General features: G+C 55.0%; 1 protein-coding gene across 14 annotated transcripts in view, besides 1 other annotated feature; it reads right to left on the bottom strand.

Moving 5' to 3' along the window:
- Positions 1–19,425, bottom strand: part of PLEKHM1 (pleckstrin homology and RUN domain containing M1) — a 56,513-nt gene that overhangs the window by 1,549 nt on the left and 35,539 nt on the right. For 9 of the 14 annotated variants that reach the window (NR_027774.2, NR_027782.2, NM_014798.3 and 6 more), the window contains 6 exons: positions 17,598–18,515; positions 14,861–15,006; positions 9,713–9,906; positions 4,406–4,469; positions 3,720–3,877; positions 143–2,212 (listed from right to left, as the gene is read on the bottom strand). Coding sequence is in view for 12 of the 14 variants with exons in the window: in NM_014798.3 (NP_055613.1) it covers positions 2,101–2,212; positions 3,720–3,877; positions 4,406–4,469; positions 9,713–9,906; positions 14,861–15,006; positions 17,598–18,515 (1,592 nt within the window). In the remaining 2 variants the exon portion in view is untranslated. Of the gene's footprint in view, positions 1–142; positions 2,213–3,719; positions 3,922–4,405; positions 4,470–9,712; positions 9,907–14,860; positions 15,007–17,176; positions 18,516–19,057; positions 19,124–19,425 lie in introns of those variants that run through there. The other 5 variants (XM_047437189.1, XM_047437191.1, XM_011525528.3 and 2 more) reach the window with 4 other exon arrangements.
- Positions 82–735: an enhancer, noted in NCBI's record as "H3K4me1 hESC enhancer chr17:43513205-43513858 (GRCh37/hg19 assembly coordinates)". NCBI's record gives its function as "activates a minimal SCP1, AML or CMV promoter by ChIP-STARR-seq in naive H9 embryonic stem cells {active_cell/tissue: H9 hESC(naive)}" and the evidence as "EXISTENCE:reporter gene assay evidence [ECO:0000049][PMID:30033119]".

Here is a 19,425-nt window from a genome sequence, read left to right on the forward strand (position 1 = left end):
TACAAGTGTTTGCCACGGACCTCCCAAGCCTTCCCCCGTGCCAGGGACTAACATGAGGGTAGGGGACCCTGACAGATGGTAACAGATGGCTGGTGGTCTCCCCCCTGGCCGTGGCAGTGTTAGAATTCAGAAGCCAGACCAGTGATGAGAAAGATCAGGTCTTTACTGCAAAATCATTCAAAACTCACACGGCAGCAATTCCTTCAATACATTGCAAAGACTCCTCAGGGCCAGAGCCCTGCTCACTAGGAACAGTGTATTGCATAAAATAACATTTTAAAAATAGTGTGGGCACTACCTTTCTGAGGGAGGGGAGGCGGGAAGAGTCAATGCATCTGAAAGCACTGGCAGCTTCTGGGGAACGGGCCCCCCAGGGCCTCAAACCTGCTGCCTCCGAGGGCACCTTCGGGGAGAATCCTCACAGGCCCAAGCCCTCCCCAGGCCAGGCTCCTGCCCACTCAGGGATGGGGCAATGAGGGCTCTGACTAGGCTGGGCTTGTGGTGGAGCGTTAATGTGGGCCATGGCGGTGCATAACCCAGCTCCTGGCTTAGGAGGCATTGGCGTCTGGGCACAGGTGTGTGCCATGACCGGGAGAAGCTGTGCGCAGCCTCCACCTGCCTGCCACCGTTGCCTCTGTTCTGCTGCACAGGCATCCAGCTCCAAGGCTGGGTGGGTGACTCAGCAGCTAATCGCCCCCAGGGAAGGGTGGGGGTGGGCTCATCTCTGACAGTGACATGCGGCTCTCCACCTGAGGCCTGACTCCAAGCTGAGCGCAGGTAAGACAGCTAGGACTGAGGGCCTGCTAGGTCCAGGAGAGGTGGGGGAAGGCGACAGAGAGACCAGCAAACCCACATTTCCCCGAAGCCTGGAGGGTCTGACCATCACTTTGAAAACAATTCCAGACTCCCACCCCAGCCCCAAGGCCCCTTCAAAGGCAGTCCTGCTCCGGGGAACTTCTTCAGTCTCCAGTGTCCCGGCTGGGCAAGTTCAGTGATGCTTTGGGAATTCATGGCTTTGTGAGGTGGTGGCTGCATCCACAGGGCAGTTCCCCCGCACGCCCTGCACAGCTTAGGACCAGGTCACTTCTCCACAGTGCAGGGCGTGGCTGCCTGCCCTCTCTGGGGTCCTGCCTATCTGTGCCCTGGCAGGGGTCAGTCAGGCAGAGAGTGTGACCCCGGGCACCCACCAAGGTGGGCCTGGAGCATCTGCAGCAGCGCCCCTGTCTGTAGAGGGGTGAGGAGCGCACGGGGATCGGGGGTGGGCAAGACGGCGACCCTCCATAAACCGAGGAGGGCTCAAAGTGCTGACAGTGCTGGTTTCCAGTCATTTCTCCTTCTCCTAATGGGGCCAAGGCCCCAGGCTAGAGAAGAGCTAGGGGCTCTGACGCTGAGAAAGCGGTGGGCTCAGCAGGCGAGACGCACTGGGGTGGGGAGTAAAGAGGACACAGAGGAACCGGGGTCGCCAGGACTGGCCCTGCCCTGCTGAGGGGCGGTTTGGCACTGGCAGTGAGGGCCAAGGAAAGGCACTGGGTGGGCCCATAGACCCTGTCCCAGCAGTGGCCTGCCCACCAGCCACCCGCTACCTCTAAGCCAGGCCTGAGTGGCTCCTGTGCATCCGCTGGGGGTGAGAATGTCTGGATTTCATGGGTGACTCACGTAGGGTCAAGAATAAAAAAATACTTTCTGTTGAAATATGAATGGGAAAAACCCACCTTAAAAAACTAGACCTTTTAATCAGGAATGTGGAATTGAAAATGCTCCCCAAGTCCCCTTTCCACAGTGTTTGGGCAGCCCTAACGGAGGCGCCGGGACGCTGGTGAGCCAGGGCCTGGTGAGTAAACGGCCCTGCCTGCCCCAGACAGGGAGCATCTGGTGGTGGCCACGCCTCCTGCAGCAGAGGGGTGGGGGGAGGGCCAGGGGACACCACGGGGACTTCCTGGGCTTTCTCTGGGAGGCCGGTGCTCTGGCCACATCTGAGGGTCTTCCTGACAAGGGGACACAGCTGTGACACGGTGAGTATCCTGGGCTGATGGCAAACCCAGCCGGGATGGCTGAGCCACACTCACCCCCGGCTTTCAGAGCGGGGTCAGCAGATGGGCATCAGGCGAAAATGTTCTGTTCCTGGTACTTGCGCCGGCGGGCACAGCGGGGGCAGCCCTTCTTCACCACAGCCTGGCAGCTCTGGTGGAAGACGGTCTTGCACTCGGCACACCTGGGGAGAGAGCAGTAGGCCTGCTGGTGCCGGCTGGGCTGGAGGTTGCCCTGTGGCCACGCTGGCCAGCCCTTTTGACCAGAACCCACGATACGGCTGTGATGTACTGTGTAACCCATGCACGCACACCGTGCCTCTCCGTTCTGGAACAGGAGAGTCTTGAAACAGTGCTTACCCATACGTCACACAATGCACACTGATATTCTCTGTCCTATTGCATTTTTTATAAATGCTGCTTGAGATTCATTAAAGATCTCTTGCCTATATTTAAAAAATATTTACGGCCAGGCGCAGTGGCTCACGCCTTTAATCCCAGCACTTTGGGAGGCCGAGGTGGGCGGGTCACAAGGTCAGGAGATCGAGACCATCCTGGCTAACACAGTGAAACCCTGTCTCTACTAAAAATACAAAAATTAGCCGGGCGTGGCGGTGTGTGCCTGTAGCCCCAGCTGCTGGGGAGGCTGAGGCAGGAGAATGGCATGAACCCGGGAGGCAGAGCTTGCAGTGAGCCGAGACTGCACCATTGCACTCCAGCCTGGGCGACAGAGCAAGACTCCATCTCAAAAAGAAAAAAAAAATTTTTTTTACTTACTTTATTTATTTATTTTTCAGAGTCTTGCTCTGTTGCCCAGGCTGGAGTGCAGTGGCACGATCTCGGCTCACTGCAACCTCTGCCTCCCGAATTCAAGTGATTCCCCTGCCTCAGCCTCCCAAGTAGCTGGGATTACAGGTGCCCACCACCACACCTGGCTTACTTTTGTGTTTTTAGTGGAGACGGGGTTTCACCATGTTGGCCAGGCTGGTCTTGAACTCCTGACCTCAAGTGATCCACCTGCCTTGGCCTCCCAAAGTTGTGGGATTACAGGCGTGAGCCACCACGCCCGGCCAAGATGGTATAATTTTAAAAACTCAGCCCCAGGCCCATTCAGGGCTGCATCCCGGCCAGTGGACACCGACAGAAAAAGAACTAATGTTCCCAGTTCAGTTTTCTGCTCCCACATGGGTTGCAGGAAGGTCTGGACAAATTTTTCCATTGAGAGGTTGCGGATAATGAGCAATAACTGGGAACAAGAGTGATCATTTCAGCAACAGACACAGTGGCAGTGGCAGGTACCACCCACCAGGTGCCACTTTGTGCCTGGTCTCATGCCAACAGTGCAGGGTGGTAACTCATACAACCCTCCTCAACCCATGCATACACTGAGGCGCCAGGAGGCTCCACTCAGAGAGCCGGCAGCCACCTCTTCTTTAGGAAGAGAGATGGTTCCATAGAGGCAGAGGAGTCCTGGGAAAGCTTGTCTTGTCCCCTGAGCTGGACTGGAGCTGGCCATGACTGCCCAGAGCATGGGCTGCCCCAACAACTGCACCACCCCTTGGCACAGCACAAAGTGGATGTTCAATAAGTTCCTGCCCACAGAGCGAAGCCTGCTGCCCTGCGTGCTTGGGCCAGGCTGTGGGTGTGGGGAAGGGTGGGGCTGGAAGGCGGCTGGCTGGGTGTCCCGCATACCTGACTGTGGTGTCAAACTCAAAGGGGAAGATGATGTCGTGGTGCTGGCAGATCTGGCAGATGAAGCCGCGCTGGGTGCACAGGTCGCAGTGGTAGACATGCTGGGAGGCAAATTCAATCAGGGCCTTGAGGAATCCTTCATACACCCCGTCTGCGATCTGCGGAGGGCAAGTAGGAATCCTTCATACACCCCGTCTGCGATCTGCGGAGGGCTGGTAAACTGAGGCCCCAGGCCTTTCAAGCAGCTGCACTGAGGTGCCATGGCACCCTGCCTGGAGAACTTCTACCCCCCGTTTCCACACGGGCAAGAAAAGAAAACCTCCCTGAATCAGGCTGAGCAATGCCAGCGTCCAGCCCGTGGGCACTGAGGTCACTGGGGGCTAATGGGATTTATAGCTGAGACCCAAATTCACTGTACCCTCCCCTTGGGGAAAGGAGTATTCCAAACTCTCTTCCCTGTGATCCTGGGGTTGCTGGAGTGCTTGTTTATTCCAGGGGTGCTGGGGGTATCCGTCCCTGCCCAGGAAGCTGGGGCAGCAGGGCAACCCACCCTGAGCTGCAGAAAAGCTACAGACTGCTGTCTTCTTCAGTAAACTACAGACACCCCCTCTTCCATCTTCCTTGCTGACTTCTCTGGGAATGAAGTCTCTCTAGAGGTCTGGGCGGGGGAAGCATGACACTCTTACCTGTTGGAGGTCAGCAACACTGAACCTATGCGGAGATTCCAAGAGATAATTCCTGTGGTTGAGCCTTCAAACAAAACACAAGCGATTCTTTAGAAAGGTTTCCAGAACCCAGGCTAGCCTGTGTTGTTTGTTTACACTCCCCTGGCGCTGCTCACCAGGCAGACACCCCCCGCCTGGGCGGGGCAGGGGCTAGGAGTGTAATTCGGCCTGCCTGGGCTTGGGGCCTGGTCTTCAACGTAACTAACTAGCTGGTGGGACCTTGGGCACGTTACTTAACCTCTCTGAACCTTGGGTTTCCCTCTCTGGGAAATGGAGTTGTCTGGATTAAGTAACTTATTTAAAGCATTTGGCTTGGTGCCAAGCTCACAGTAAACACGTAATTAATCATGAGAAGGAGGATGGGTGCAGACACCTGGGACCAGGAACTGGGCTAAGAGCTTCATACGCATTCATTCATTTGATCCTCACAATAATTCTGTGAGGCTGGTACTATCACAATCCCAACTCTGAGAAGAGGAAACAGAGAGGTTAAATCACTTGCCTGAGGTCACACAGCTAGTAGGTGGGAGAGCTGGAGTTTGAACACAGGGGCCTGGCTCCAGAGCCTGCACCCCTGTCCACCTAGCAAATGCCTAGAGATGCAGGCTGTTGTCATTATTGCCACCATTACATACCAGGGACAGTGCTGGGGACAGCAATGCACAGGATATGGCCTCTGCCCTCCTGTGGCCCCTGGTTTGGCCGAGGGACAGACATTCAAGTGTCTGGTTTCAGTGCTACACTGGTTTCAGTGCTGAGACGTGTCCTAAGCACAGCAGATCCCATTTCAGAGGTGGCCGGGGGAGCAGAGAACAAGGGCTCAGCCGCCAACGCAGCTCTAGTTTCTACCACACCAATGGGAGGGATCCAGGGGGCCCCATCCTGATGGGGAGGAAACACCTGCAGAAAGTCCCTTAGTGCAAAACCTGCCTGGCCTGGCTGTGTGTGTTTACATGGGTACTGGGGGTGGGAGGTTACTCCAAGTCAGAGGATGCTTGGGAACCTGCCCCAGGATGCCCCAGACATCTGGGGACAGGATGGTGCCAGCCCTGGGTCTGGGCCTCCGGGGTGCAAACTGTGGAGCATCTGGAATGGGGGCTTGGCCTTGTCCCAGCTGGTGGCTCAGCTGTGGTCCAGGGGAGCCCAATCCGGGGTGGAGAGGGTGAGTCTCACCAAGCAGCCACACAGGCCAAGATGCCAACTGGCCCCTCAGTTTACCATGCTGGTGTCCCCAGTAAACTTCCTGCACTCTAGGAAGGGAAGCTGCCATTTGTCACCAAGAAAACATGGGACACAGCAGGCTGGGGGGACACAGGTTGGCCTTCAGCTGGCAGGAGGGTGGGCGGATCTGGATGGAGAATTAGCTTTGCCATCTGTCCTCTGACCACAGTCGTGGAAGCCCTGGGAGCCCCTGTGCCCTGGGCCTGTCACCCTCTCAGCAAGGACTTGGAAGTGGCTTCTCCGCAGTGCTCAGTCAAGGCCAGAGGGGAGAGGGCGCTGACCCAGGGGTGAGAGGCCACTTCTCCTGGCCTCCAGGAGAGAAACTCTCATGCACTGGGGCACAGTCAGGCCTACTTGGGGCCTCAGTTTCTCCACCCACACAATGAGGAGAACCCTCTTTGTCCTCTGGCGTGAGGCTGGCTACCTGGGAAAGAGACCAGAGGAATCTGGACGGCTCTCCGGGAGAGAAGAAGATGAGGGGAAAGGTCGAATCTTAGTTCCTGGAACCGATGAAGTGATGGGGAAGGAAAGGGCCAGGCAAGGGCTGGAAGATCCGGGGGACATGGGTGGGGGGCCTGGGTGCCACCTGTCTCCTGAGCCCTGGCTCCTCCTCTGCCCACCCCTTCCCGGCTGTCGGGAGGGACAATGAGGTCTGGTGGGTGGACAGGGTGTGGGGCATTTCTGTGATGGCTTCCTCCCAAGGGCTGGAGAGGACACTGTCAGGGGCTTCTCTGGCCCTTGGAGACATGTCCCAGGTCTGCCGGAGAGAACCCTGCCAGGCAGCTGCCACTAGTGCAGGACAGCTCCTCCCTGACTCCCTGACATCCAAGACCTTCCCATGTCTCAGCCCTCTCCTCTCAACCTTCCCTCTGGCTGACTCGGTCCAGGCCCAGCTCCCTGGGCTAATTACTAACACCAGCTGCCACCCAGGGCTCTCCCCTTCACCAACTGCACTCCACTGGGGCCAGAATGGTCTTTTTGTGTGTTTGTTTTGTGTTTTTGAGACAGAGTCTCACTCTGTCTCCCAGCCTGGAGTGCAGTGGCGTGATCTTGGCTCACTCCAACCTCTGCCTCCTGGGTTCAAGTGATTCTCCTGCCTCAGCCTCCCTAGTAGCTGGGATTACAGGTGCCTGCCACCACGCCCGGCTAATTTTGTACTTTTAGTAGAGACGGGGTTTCACTATGTTGGCCAGGCTGGTCTCAAAATCCTGACCGTAGGTGATCCAACCACCTTGGCCTCCCAAAGTGCTGGGATTACAGGCATGAGCCACCGCACCTGGTCTTTTCAGAGTGGTCTTTTCTAAGCCGCTGACCGGAAGTGACAGCCCTATGCTCAAAACCCTTCAATGGTTCCCCACAGGTGGCAGATCAAATCCAAAGGCCTCGAGGGCCCTTTGAGTTCTGGGCCCTGCACCTGAAGCCCAGCTGCCCAGAGCCCCTCAAGGGTGTCAGTGAGCTGTGCTCCTGCCAGCCTCTTGCTACCGGTCTCTTAGCCAGGAAAGCCAGGTTCTCCTCTGCCCTTTCTACTCTTTTCTCATTTTTCTAAGCCCCAGTTCAACAGACACACAATGCCACTGGTGTGGCAACATGTGTGTGTGGATGGAGTGAGGTGCAGAAACAGGTGGTGGTGGGCTCTGAGAAGGGCTGATTGAATGGTCTGCTTTATTCCCTTTCATAAATTTTCCTCGCTTGGAAGATTGACCTTTGTAAAGAAGAAAAACATTTTAGAAGGAAAAAGGAAAATATCTCTGCATGCCCTCAGCTCAGATGCCATCTCCTCTGGGAGCTCCTCTGGCCCCTGCCAAGGCTGGATCAGGTGCCCTCAGGGCACACACGATGCTGACCCAGGGCCATCTGTGGCCCAGACTCTGGGTCCCTCATGCAGCTCTCACCACTGCTCAGGAGGCCACAGGAACAGAGGAATCACTGGCCCATTTTATAGACGGGAAAGCTGGACCCGGAGAAGTGAAGCAACTTTCCTGACTCACAGTGGGTGAGGGCCTCCCACACTCTTTCCCCTGCCCCATGCTGTTTCCATGGGACTTCCACAGGCATGGGAAGCAGGCTGAGCGCCTAGCAGGAGTACAGCGCTGCTGCCCAGGGATGGAGCAGGAGGGTCAGGGAGAGAGACAGGGCTGCCCCTGGTGCCCACAGAGACAGGTCTGTAAAGCCGATGAACAGACTCTCTCAGCAGGGTGGGGATGGGTGAATGGGGCTGGGGTCCACAACCCACCCCACAGGCATCTGGTCTACACAGGTCTGCATGCCTGTGCAGGTACCTGGCTCCTTGACCAAGGAGGGTGATAAGGCCCCACCTGACCCCAGAGATTTCACCACCTGGTTAGGTGGGCAGGAGGATAGTCTCTCTGGAGCCCTGGGTCATGGACTCTCAGAGGTAGGGAGTAAGTCAGCGCTTGCCAAGAGGTGGAGACCCAGTCACCCACGATGCTTGGGATGGGCAGAGCCTCCTGGGGTGAAGTCTTCTAGGGTCTAGGGTCCCACATGGTGGTCCCTGGAAGGCTTTCTGTTCTTCCAGGCCCTACAGAGGAGACCAAGGCTCAGCTGGCAGCTGTGGGGCCAAATTCTCCTCTCTGCCTAGGGGAGAGCCCCCTGCAGTACCCCTTGAGAGCCCCTGGGGACCTGCTCGAGGCACACCCTGGCCCTGAGGAGGCCCGGCTCTGGGAGCACTGCAGCCAGGATGGAGGAGGCAGTCTTCAGAGAGGCGCTCTCTGGGCCAGCCCTGTGGGGAGGGAAGGCCAGACGGGGGAACCTGGAGGGGCTTGTGAACTGGTCCCTGCCCCCAGAAACCCAGCAGAGGTTGATTTGAAGCCCATTCTGGGCAGTAGGCACCGGCAGGCTTCTCCGCCTGAGGTCTGCCCTCCTGAGGGTGCTGGGAGAGTACAGCCCTGGGAAGACTGCAGCCTGGGCGTGACCTGAGGACTAGGAAGCGTTTATGACAGGCATGGAGAGGCCTAAGTCCCTGTTGAAGCCCAGCATCACATCCCATTCCTGAGCACCAAAGGCCCCAGGCCCTGGGTAAGAGAAGCTTCCTGAAGGGCATCCTGAGGGCCCCGCCCGGATCACGTCTTCTTTGGAGAATTTCAGGAGGGAGGCTGGCATGGGCCAGACGACTGGCTGGTACAGGGAAGAGATGGGAACATCTGGCCCTCACCTGCCTCTCGCCACACTCCCCACTTCCCTCCTCACTGTAGCCAAAGTTCTCCCTGGGCTTTCCACCAACGGTGCCTTCGTTCATGGCCTGTGCGTGCCATTCCTTCTGTCTAGAATGCTCTTTCCCCCTTTGCTTCTCCTTTCTGATTCTTCCTAATTTTTCAAGTCTCACCTTATAAGTCACTTCCTCCAGGAAGTCCTTCCTGCTTTGTCCTCCTCTGATCTGGGCTGGATGTCAAGCCTCTGTGGTTCCAGGACGTCCTGCCTCTCACCCTCACCCCCAGATGGAGTTGCTGGCTTTCCCACCTGTCTCCCTCTCACCCTCACCCCCGGATGGAGTTGCTGGCTTTCCCACCTGTCTCCCTCTCACCCTCACCCCCGGATGGAGTTGCTGGCTTTCCTACTTGTCTTCCCTGCCAGGCCAGAGACTTCCGGCGGGTCGGCCCTGGCTCTGTCCTGCTCATTGTTGGAGCCTACATGCCTCGCCAGGTGTGCAGTGCTTAGTATGTTCTCAGTCCATGTTTTTGAGTGAACAAATAGATACATGAACAAAACCCCAAAATCACCCCCAAAAGATGTGATCATTTCGCAGGCCCAGTGGGAAGATCTCTGCCCAGGTTTCCTCCAGGTGGACGCCTTGCCCTGGGCACTGCCCCTGTGTGTGTGTGCATGTGCACGAGTGCCTGCATGTGTGTACATTTGTGCACATGTGCATGGGTGTGGATGTCTATGCATTTGTGTATAAATTTATGTGTGTGGGTATGTGTGCACATGTGTATGTGTGTCTGTGTGTACATGTGCATATAAGTATGTGTTTGTGTGCATGCATGTGCGTGTGTACGTGCACTCACACGCATACACGTAGAGGTTGCTCACCTCTTGCTGAGCTCCTTCAGGGCGCCACTCCGGCACAGGCCCAGGTAATCCCCCAGGAGCTTCAGCTGCTCCCGTCTCCTCCCAATGAGGTGCATCCGCTCCACATGCTCGTACAGAGACGCGTTCACCATCTGCAGGTTGATGAGGGGCTGGGCCCGGATCTGTGTCAGAAACTTCAGGGCCTGCCTGCAGATCTGGGGGTACCACCAGGCATTGGGGATGGGAAGGAATGGCTGTTCAGTGAGCACTGCCTGGCCAGGTGCCACATGACCTGCTCACTTACCTGAGGGGCTATCTTCATTTTACAGATGGGGAAACTGAGGCTCAAGGAGATGAAGAGATTTGGCTAGGGTCACCCAGCTTGTAAATGGTACAGTCAAGCTCTGAACCCAGTTTATCTGACTCCCAAACCCGCTCTCCCTCTAATGACAAGGGTCACTGCCCCCTCCCCAATCATGCTGAGATGAGGGAGGGACTGCTCTGATAACGCCCCCTCCCTCTGGGCCTCACAGATCCTTCCCACTCTTTCCTGTCCTCCCAGCCCCTATTTCCCCCCACTGAAGGAAACAGGCACTCCCTTCTGTGCCCTGACTCAGGAACCAGGTGACGGGCTGAGTCAGGCTCCAGCCACAGGAAGCTACAGATCAGACACAGCTCACCAACAGGCTTCCCTGAGCTCCCTCGGCTCACACCAGTAGCAACACCGGGACTCCGTGTGCAGCTGAGTGATCCATCTCAGTCTCTCCTGGCTGACAGGGTGTTGAAGGTTCTACCCTTGGCCCTGATCCTAATACCAATGCCAATAATCGAGCGCCTACTATTTGCAAAACACTGGGTCAGGAACTTGACCACATCCTCCCGTCATTCTCAGAACAACACGTTAGGGAGGGTGTCCCTGTCCCCGTTTTCTAGATAAGGAAACGGAGGCTTAGAGGGGCTAACGTAGCTTATACAACCTGCCTGCAGAACCTGCCAGGTTTGAGCTGAGGTGTCATCTCTGAACACCAGGCTGCTGCACTAATCAGAAGCCCCCTCCCCTGCAGTGATCTCGCTGTATCATAAGGACGGAGGAGCTGTTGTCTCCACAGCCGACAAGTGCACAGTGACTAGAAGTCTGGCTTTGGCCTGGCTCAGATCTTTAACATCTTAACTAGTCCTCTCGTTACATATTTTATTTCTGGTGGCTTTGTTTTTGATACTATTATAAGTGATTATCTTTTAAAATAGTAATTTGTTTGCTGATATATAGAAATGAAATTGATTTATTTGACTGTCGTATCCAGCAACCTTTTCAAATTCTGATAAATTGTGTAGGGGAAAAAAAGTCTGGCTTCGGAGTCAGAATGGAATTGAATCCTGCCTCCACCACTTTATACCTGTATGAATTGGTGAAACTTATCCCTCTCTGTGACTCAGTTTCCTCATCTGTAAAATGGGGAAAATGAGAGCAATTAAGGCTCACGGGTTTGGGGCCTTTTCGTTCGCTGCTGCTGCTTTAGTGCTTTGGCCCGGCACTCGGCAGGATGTCAGCCCAGGACTGGAGCTTCTTTTTCATGGGATTATTTTGAATTCAGATTAAAAGAGGTATTCCAGGAGAGCTCCTGGCATAGGGCCTGGCAGGTGGCACATCCCCAGTAAATGTGAGCTGCTATCAGCTGCTGTGTGAGTGCCTGGTGTGGCCCTGTTGTCCCCTTGAGGGTTGGGGGACTAAACTGGCCCTCAGGAGACCTGCCCCTGTATTTGGGGGCTGAGGGGGCCTCTGACCTCTTGTCTCCCAGCTCCACCAGCATCTCTCACCTCCCCCAGCAATGGACAACCTCTTCTTTTCCCAAAGCCTGGGGCCCTGAGGTACCAGCCCCCCAGCCCAGGGACAGCCCAATGGCAAACTCCTGGTGACTTGGGTCAAGCTGCTGTTCTCCAGTCCTAACTCAGCTCTTCCCATGACTTGGCCCCAGGCCTTGGGTGAGGCTCCAGTGAAATAACACACAGGAATGTGCGCTGAACACTGCCAAACACTGCAGATGGGCAGGGGCTTTGTGCTCCCCAGCGACTGTTCCTATCCTGCGGGAATGGAGGAGACAGAAAGAAGCCCCACTCCTGGGCTGACATCCTGCCAGTGCCAGCCAGGCCTCAGCACCAGTGGGTCAGCCAGGCCTCAGCACCAGTGGGTCAGCCAGAACAGCAACGGCGAACAATAAGGCCCCAAACCCGTGGGCCCCCTACTTTCTATCTTGAGTTTCCCTGTCTTTCCTAGGCCAGCAATCTTTGAGAGGGAGAGCGAGCTGAGGATTTCCTGATCTCAGATATGCCTAGAAAACGATTGTACTTTTCTTTTTTTTTTTTTTGAGGTGGGGTTTCGCTCTTGTTGCCCAGGCTGGAGTGCAATGGCGCAATCTCAGCTCACCACAATATCCGCCTCCCAGGTTCAAGAGATCCTCCTACCTCAGCCTCCGGATTAGCTGGATTACAAACATGCGCCACCACGCCCAGCTAATTTTTGTATTTTTTAGTAGAGACAGGGTTTCTCCACGTTGGTCAGGCTGGTCTCAACTCCCGACCTCAGGTGATCCGCCCACCTCAGCCTCCCAAAGTGCTGGGATTACAGGCATGAGCCGCTGTGCCCAGCTAGGATTGTACTTTTCTAGTTAGAAAAGGAAGTGGCACAAGGATGAGGGCAGTGAATAAGGAGATGGCTCAACGGAAGTATCAGGGTCCTGTAAATAGTTAACGTGTTTTATGATCAAAGGGTTCTTTGCATTTTTGGTGATTTTGAGGCTTAATTTCCTCTATGTAGTTAGTTAAATATTTAACACTGAGAGCGAGGGCGGGGACAAGGCAAACAACAAAAAAATCAAAATGAAGCCAACTTCTGCGGGGTTTCCCCGCCCCAGGGAGGTGGAGGTTGAGGTAGAACTGACTGAGAGAATCACCCTGCACTATGATGAAGACACATCCACACATCAGGACTACATAGCTGGCAGGCCCTGGCTCTCCAGAGGAGCAAACAGCTTCTTCCTTGTGTTTCTGTGTCTGTCTTAGTAGAAATCTGTGCCCTTGGAAGAAAACCAAATTTGCACCCCTTGAGGCAGACACTAACCAAGTGAATTAGGTAGATGGGTGGATGGGTGGGTGAATATAGGCAGGAGGTGTGACAGGCCCCAGGGAGAGAAAGGACACTGTTCTTACTGACAGGCACACACTGCCACACCTGCCCTCCCAACAACCCCGACACAGACACTGTTGTTAACCCTCCTTTTACAGATGAGGAAACTGAAGCTAATTTGCTCATGGTAACACAGGTAGGAAAGTGGCTAAGTTCAGCTGGAGAAAAGGAAAATTCTGAAAGACTTTAAGATACATCTTATTCAAAAGCATTTGGTGAACATAAAAAAGTACCCAAGGCATAATATTAAGTGAACCAAGCTTCTTATAAAGCAGTATGAGTCCTGTGTGATCCCAACTTTATAAAAAATAGATGCATATGTCAATAAATGCACAGAAAAGGGTATACCCCGAAATGTTAATAATGGTGATCTCTTGGTTATGACACAGAATTTTGATTGGTCTTTGGGTTTTTCTGTAACTTTAAAATGTTAAACAATAACTGTGTATTATCTTAATAATGGGGGAAGTCACAGAAAAAGTGCTTTTCAAAAACATGAAATAAATAAGCCCATGTAGGGCCTACAGGGGAGTGCAGTCACCTGGGCCTCATAGGGTTGGCAAAGGCAAGGATGACTGCTCCAAGGTATAGCCCTGGCCAGCCCATCTACCCATCCACCTACCTATTCACCCATCCACCCAGCCATCTACCCACCGTCCACCCATCTACCCATCTACCTACCCATCTACCCATTCACCTAACCATCTACCCATCTAGCCATCTGCCCATTCACCCACCCATCTACCCATCTACCTACCCATCTACCCATTCACCTAACCATCTACCCATCTAGCCATCTGCCCATTCACCCACCTATCTACCTATCTACCTACCCATCCACCTACCCACCAAGCCATCCACTCATCCACCTAACCATTTACCCATCTGCCTATCTAGGCACCCATCTACCTACCTATCCACCCATTCACCAATCTACCCAACCACCTACCCATCCATCCATCCACCAACCCATCCACCTAGCCACCTGCTCATTCACCTACCTACCTACCCATCCACCTAACCATCCACCTAGCCACCTGCTCATCCACCTACCTACCTGCCCATCCACCTAGCCACCTGCTCATTCACCTACTTACCTACCCATCCACCTACCTACCTGCCCATCCACCTAGCCACCTGCTCATTCACCTACCTACCTACCCATCCACCTAGCCACCTGCTCAGCCACCTACCTACCTGCCCATCCACCTAGCCACCTGCTCATTCACCTACCTACCTATCCATCCACCTAACCATCCACCTAGCCACCTGTTCATCCACCTAACTACCTGCCCATCCACCCATCCACCTACCCATCCACCCACCCACCTAGCCACCACCTGCTCATTCACCTACCTACCTACCCATCCACCTAACCATCTGCTCATCCACCTACCTACCTACCCATCCACCTAACCATCTGCTCATCCACCTAACCATCCACCTAACCACCTGCTCATTCACCTACCTACCTACCCATCCACCTAGCCGCCTGCTCATCCACCTAGCCACCTGCTCATTCACCTACCTACCTATCCATCCACCTAACCATCCACCTAGCCACCTGCTCATCCACCTACCTACCTGCCCAGCCCCCTAACCATCCACCTAGCCACCTGCTCATCCACCTACCTACCTGACCATCCACCATCCATCTATCTAATCTATCAAATCTATTTTATCTATCTATCTATCATTTATCTGCTGGTGCCTTAAGCAGTTATGTTTGTAGCTGCAGGAAACCATCCTCAAACTCTTTCCTCCTGGGGACCAAGACAGCCACCGATAGAGCCCTGCCCAAGGCTGTGGACAGGCACCAAGCTTTTCTCTTGGTTAGCTCCCCAACATCACAGTGCCTGAACCAGTGACCCTGGCTTCCCTTGTTTAGAGGAGCCAAACTCCTCTAAACAGATGAACAGCAGCAGCAAAGAGGAGTGAACACCCCTCTGTCCCTCAGCAGCTGGGCTGCTGGGCTTGAGACTTACCGGGCGCTTGGTGAGGTCCCAGTTGTGGATGATCCTGGCCGGAATCACTGAGGCATCGTCTTGGTGGCAGATGTCACAGTAATAGAGGCCAGAGAAGGCACAGAGCTTGGGTCGTACAAAGGAGAAGCCGATCTGCCGGGAGCAGCCTGGGGAGATGGGTGGAGAGTGAGTGGTGTGGCCAGAGTCAGCTCCTAGTAACTTGGGAGCTGCTGTGGTGGAAAGGATCTGCTGGTTGATTTTTTTTTAAGGTAGGCACAAACACAAGAATAACCACCACTCGTATTTCCACCACTCAGAACTCCCCTACTAATTAATCTTTACAACAACACACTGTAAGAACTATCATTATTTTACAGCTGAAGAAATGGATGCTCAGAGAGGTTAGGAAATCTGTCTGGTCACATAGTGATGAAGTGGCATGGCTGGCATTCAGATCTGGGTTTGGCTGGTTCCAGAGCCTGAGTTCTGCTCCACTACCCCTTGCTGCCTGTGTCCGGTGTCCCCACTGCTGGCTTGGCAATGCCAGCCTCCTCTAGGTCCACCCCTCCACTCGGGCCCCAGAATGGAAGCAGCAGAGTAGGGGCTGTGGCAAGCAGCGAAGTAGCTGGGGGACAGGGACCAGGGTCGGGGCTGGCAACAGGGAGCGGATGGGCAGCCAGCAGGGGGCAGGGGAGTGTGCACAGTGTCTGATGCCTCGGGACTGTGGGGTAGGGCTGGCTTCAGCCCCCTTGGTTGGAGGTGTCTCCACAGCCGGAGCCAGTGGGAATGGGAGTGGGATGTGCCCTGGGCAAAAAGCAGAGGCCCTGACTCAAACCCTGAACATGTGCCCTAACTCCTCCAAGGGCAGGCAGAAGGGTCCCCGGGCCTTGGGACCAGAGGGCGGGTTCTGCTCCTCACCAGCTGCCTCACCCTGACCTTCACCTGATTTCTTCAAGGTTCCATTTCAGTGACTGTAAAATTCAGCTACTACCAGCTATTTTGTGGGGTTATTACAAAGCTTAAATGAGACAAGGTTCTGCAAGTACCCTGCAAATTATGAAATACAACCCAGATGCCAGTGGTTGGTGTCTGCCACTGAGCCATGCCTGCTGGGTAGAAAGGAAACCCAAACTCCCCGGTGGCACAGTCCCACCCGCTGGTGGGTGGCAGCCATGGTGAGAGTTGCCCCCGCAGCATTCACACCCACAGGCGAGGAACCCTTTCTTGCAAGCCCTGGAGTCCTGGCCCCCTCAGAGCCTGGCCTTCACAGGCTGAAGAGCAAAGTGTGAGCGCTGGGGCAGGCGGGGGAGAGGTCAAGCGAGGCTTGCAGGTGTTTTCTGCAGGAAGCTCTGTTCTGCCTAGCTTCTCCCATCCTCGCGGGGCCAACCGCAGACCAATTCCTTTCAGATGCTTGAAACAGGCTTCCCTCCAGTCTGTGCCAACAGGACAGCTCCCAAACCAAGGCTCAGCTTCTTGCTCTGGCCTTCTGCAGCAGGACAACCCCCTCACAGGTCACCTAAGGGTCCCATGGTGATGGGATGCCATCTGCCCCTGGATGGTGGGGGGAGTGGGAGGGGCTAACAATGGAACATGGGCAGGGGGATGTCACTCAACCTTGAATAAGACCCTAGAGGGATGCCCTCTAGGGTCCTGCCTATGAGCAAAGGCTCTGGGGCCTGACTGTCAGGGTCCCATTTCTGCCTCTGGCCAGGCATGGTTGCTGATATCTGTAATCCCAGCACTTTGGGAGGCTGAAGCAGGAGGAACACTTGAGCCTAGGAGTTCAAGACTAGCTTGAGCAACAGGGGGAGACCCCATCTCTACTAAAACAAACAAACAAACAAACAAAAAAGGAAAATTCTGCCTCTGCCACTTACTAGCTGTGTGAGCTCAGTAGCAGACACCAACCAGGTACTTACCAGCTCTGTGCTTCAGTTTCCTCCCCTATCAACAGAGATGATAATAGTAGCGCCTATCTCTACAGGGTTGTTATGAGACTTAAATGAGATAATCCAAATAAAGCAGCTGGCCCAGTGCCCAGCACAGAAGTATTAGATTTGATGATGAGGAAGACATAGCAGATGTACTGACTTGGAATAACATCCACAGTGTAGGAAAAAACCAAGTTGTGGAACAATATATCCAGCATTCAACACAGCAGCCAAGAGCCCCGTGTGTCCCCTTTAAATGCAAATGAATTTAAATAGAAAATTCAGTTGCTTAACCACACTAGCCACACTTTAAGCACCTGGTAGCACTACATGGCTCGCAGCTATGGCACTGGACACACAGATCTAGGACATTTTCATCATCACAGAAAGTTCTATTGGACAGCACTGAATAGCACGAGCCCATTTTTATAATTAAAAAAAAGGGTGTACACTTATAAAAGCAGCAGAAATATTTGGAAGGAAACCATGCCCCTGCTCTGAAAGAACAGGACGGTAGAGCAAGAAGAAAATGAAGCAGGCTGGGACTCCCTGAGCAGCGCAGTGAGTAGCCAGCCTGCCGCCCATCAGTGGGAGGTGGCAGGAGAGGGACGGGTGAGCAGGGCCCACTGCCTATGAGCAGGGCACTGGCCCCAGCCGGGGCTGGGGAGGAGCAGAAGCTGTAGGGCAAGCCTGATCTGTGGCCTCATCCCTAGGGGAAGGATGGGGGCATTTGCGGGGAGGCAGAAGGGTGGGGAGCCTAAATCAGGAACCAGCAGGAGGTGGAGTGAGGCTGGCAGGCTGGGGGTGGCAGCAGAGCAAATCGGCACCTGCGCAGAAGCAGCCTTGGGAGTCAAGGCCTTTCTCCATGGGGATAGCCACCAGGTACTGCAGCAGGAAGCCATTCTCCCGGGTGGCAAATTTCAGCACCTCCTGACAGTTTTCATCCAGGCTCCCGCCCAGGGTCACCGCCTCCTCGGCTGTCTCCAAGTAGGATGCCAGGACTTTGCGGACCAGATCCCTCCACAGGGCGGCTTCCTCGGCGTTTCCGGCCTGCAGCTTCAGGACAGCCTTGGCCGTGATGATTTTGAAGAAGGATGGGCCCCCAAGGCTGGTGTCTGGCAGGATGTCCCGGATGGTCTCCACGCCGTGGCTGTCACTCAGCATCTTCTCATTGTTCCTGATGCGGAAACATTTCAGAGCCTCCAAGGACAGAGAAAATATATAGGGCATCCAGGTCCTGTCCATGTACAAGTACAGCAGGGACTCCTTGATGGCATCTGGCTCTGGAACCTGGGCGGACGACCAGTCAAACTGTGTGCCCTGGAGGGCCGCGGGCTCCGAGAGCAGGTCTGAGGGAGAGAGGCAGCCCTGGGGCGCCTCGGGGGGTTCCTCAGGCTGGTCTGGGTACTGCACGTTCACCCACTCATCCTCCTGCTGAGGCCGGACCTTCTGCAGGGCCTCCCGCACCCGGTCCAGCCAGTCCTCAGCTTCGTCCTGGGAGGAGGCGCGCAGGGCCAGCTTCTTGCCAGAGAAGACCAGCTCAAAGCGCCCATCACTATGGGCTGGCCCCACAGACTCACAGCGAAGCAGCGAGCAGTTCTCCACACAGGTGTGCTCCTCGTTGCTCAGGTAGAGGCGGAACTCCAGCGGGGAGAGCTCGCAGAAGAGCTCCTTCCAGATGCCCATTGCCCCCCGCCGCTCCACGGTGCCCAGCTTCATGAGACCCCGGAATGGGTTGGACAGTCCTGGAGGCAGAGGCAAAAAGGGGCACATTAGTTGGCGGGCCTGTCTCTGTCCTGCCCAAGGCAGCCTCTGCTGCCTGATGCCCTGCAGTGCATGTGGCCAGTGACTGTCCCCAGAACACAGGCCAGCCACGGGGCACTATCACATGGGACCCTGAAAGCTGGATGGGAACATCCCCATTCTCACCGTCCACTGCTGCTCTTGCGTCCTGTATTTCACTGAGAAAATAAGAGCACCCAAAAGATCCCCTCCACACGCCCTGTTCCCTACACCCACGCCTTCCCTCCTGCTGCCAGGGATGAACCAAGTGTGCTTCTTTCTGCGTGAGGCCAAACCCTCCATTTGTGCAGGAGGTCTCTCCCTTGGCCAACTACTCAAGGACAAGGAGCAGTCCTCTCCTCTGTCACTGCTTTCTTCCTTCTCTATGGGGTGACTCCCATCGGCACACATGCACGCTGTCATTTCTCCCATCTTTAGAAACACCTCTCGTCTCCATGCACTTCCCTAATGACCACCATATTTCTCAGGCCCCTTTACAGAAAACCTGTTTGAAGAGGCATCAAAACTGTTCATCTTGGCCGGAAGCGGTGGCTCATGCCTGTAATCCCAGCACTTCGGGAGGCTGAGGTGGGTGGATCACTTGAGGTCAGGAGTTTGAGACCAGCTTGGTGAACACGGTGAAACCCCGTCTCTACTAAAAATACAAAAATTAGCCAGGTGTGGTGAGCACCTGTAATCCCAGCTACTAGGGAGGCTGAGGCAGGAGAATGGCTTGAACCGGGAAGGCAGGGGATTGCAGTGAGCTGAGGTCACTCCACTGCACTTCAGCCTGGGTGACAGAGGAGTGAGACTCCGTCTCAACAAAACAAAAAACCTCTTGGTCTCTAGTTTCCCTGCTCCCATTCCTTCTCG

The sequence above is a fragment of the Homo sapiens genome, chromosome 17 (genome assembly GCF_000001405.40).
Source record: "Homo sapiens chromosome 17, GRCh38.p14 Primary Assembly".
NCBI classification, from domain to species: Eukaryota; Metazoa; Chordata; class Mammalia; order Primates; family Hominidae; genus Homo; species Homo sapiens.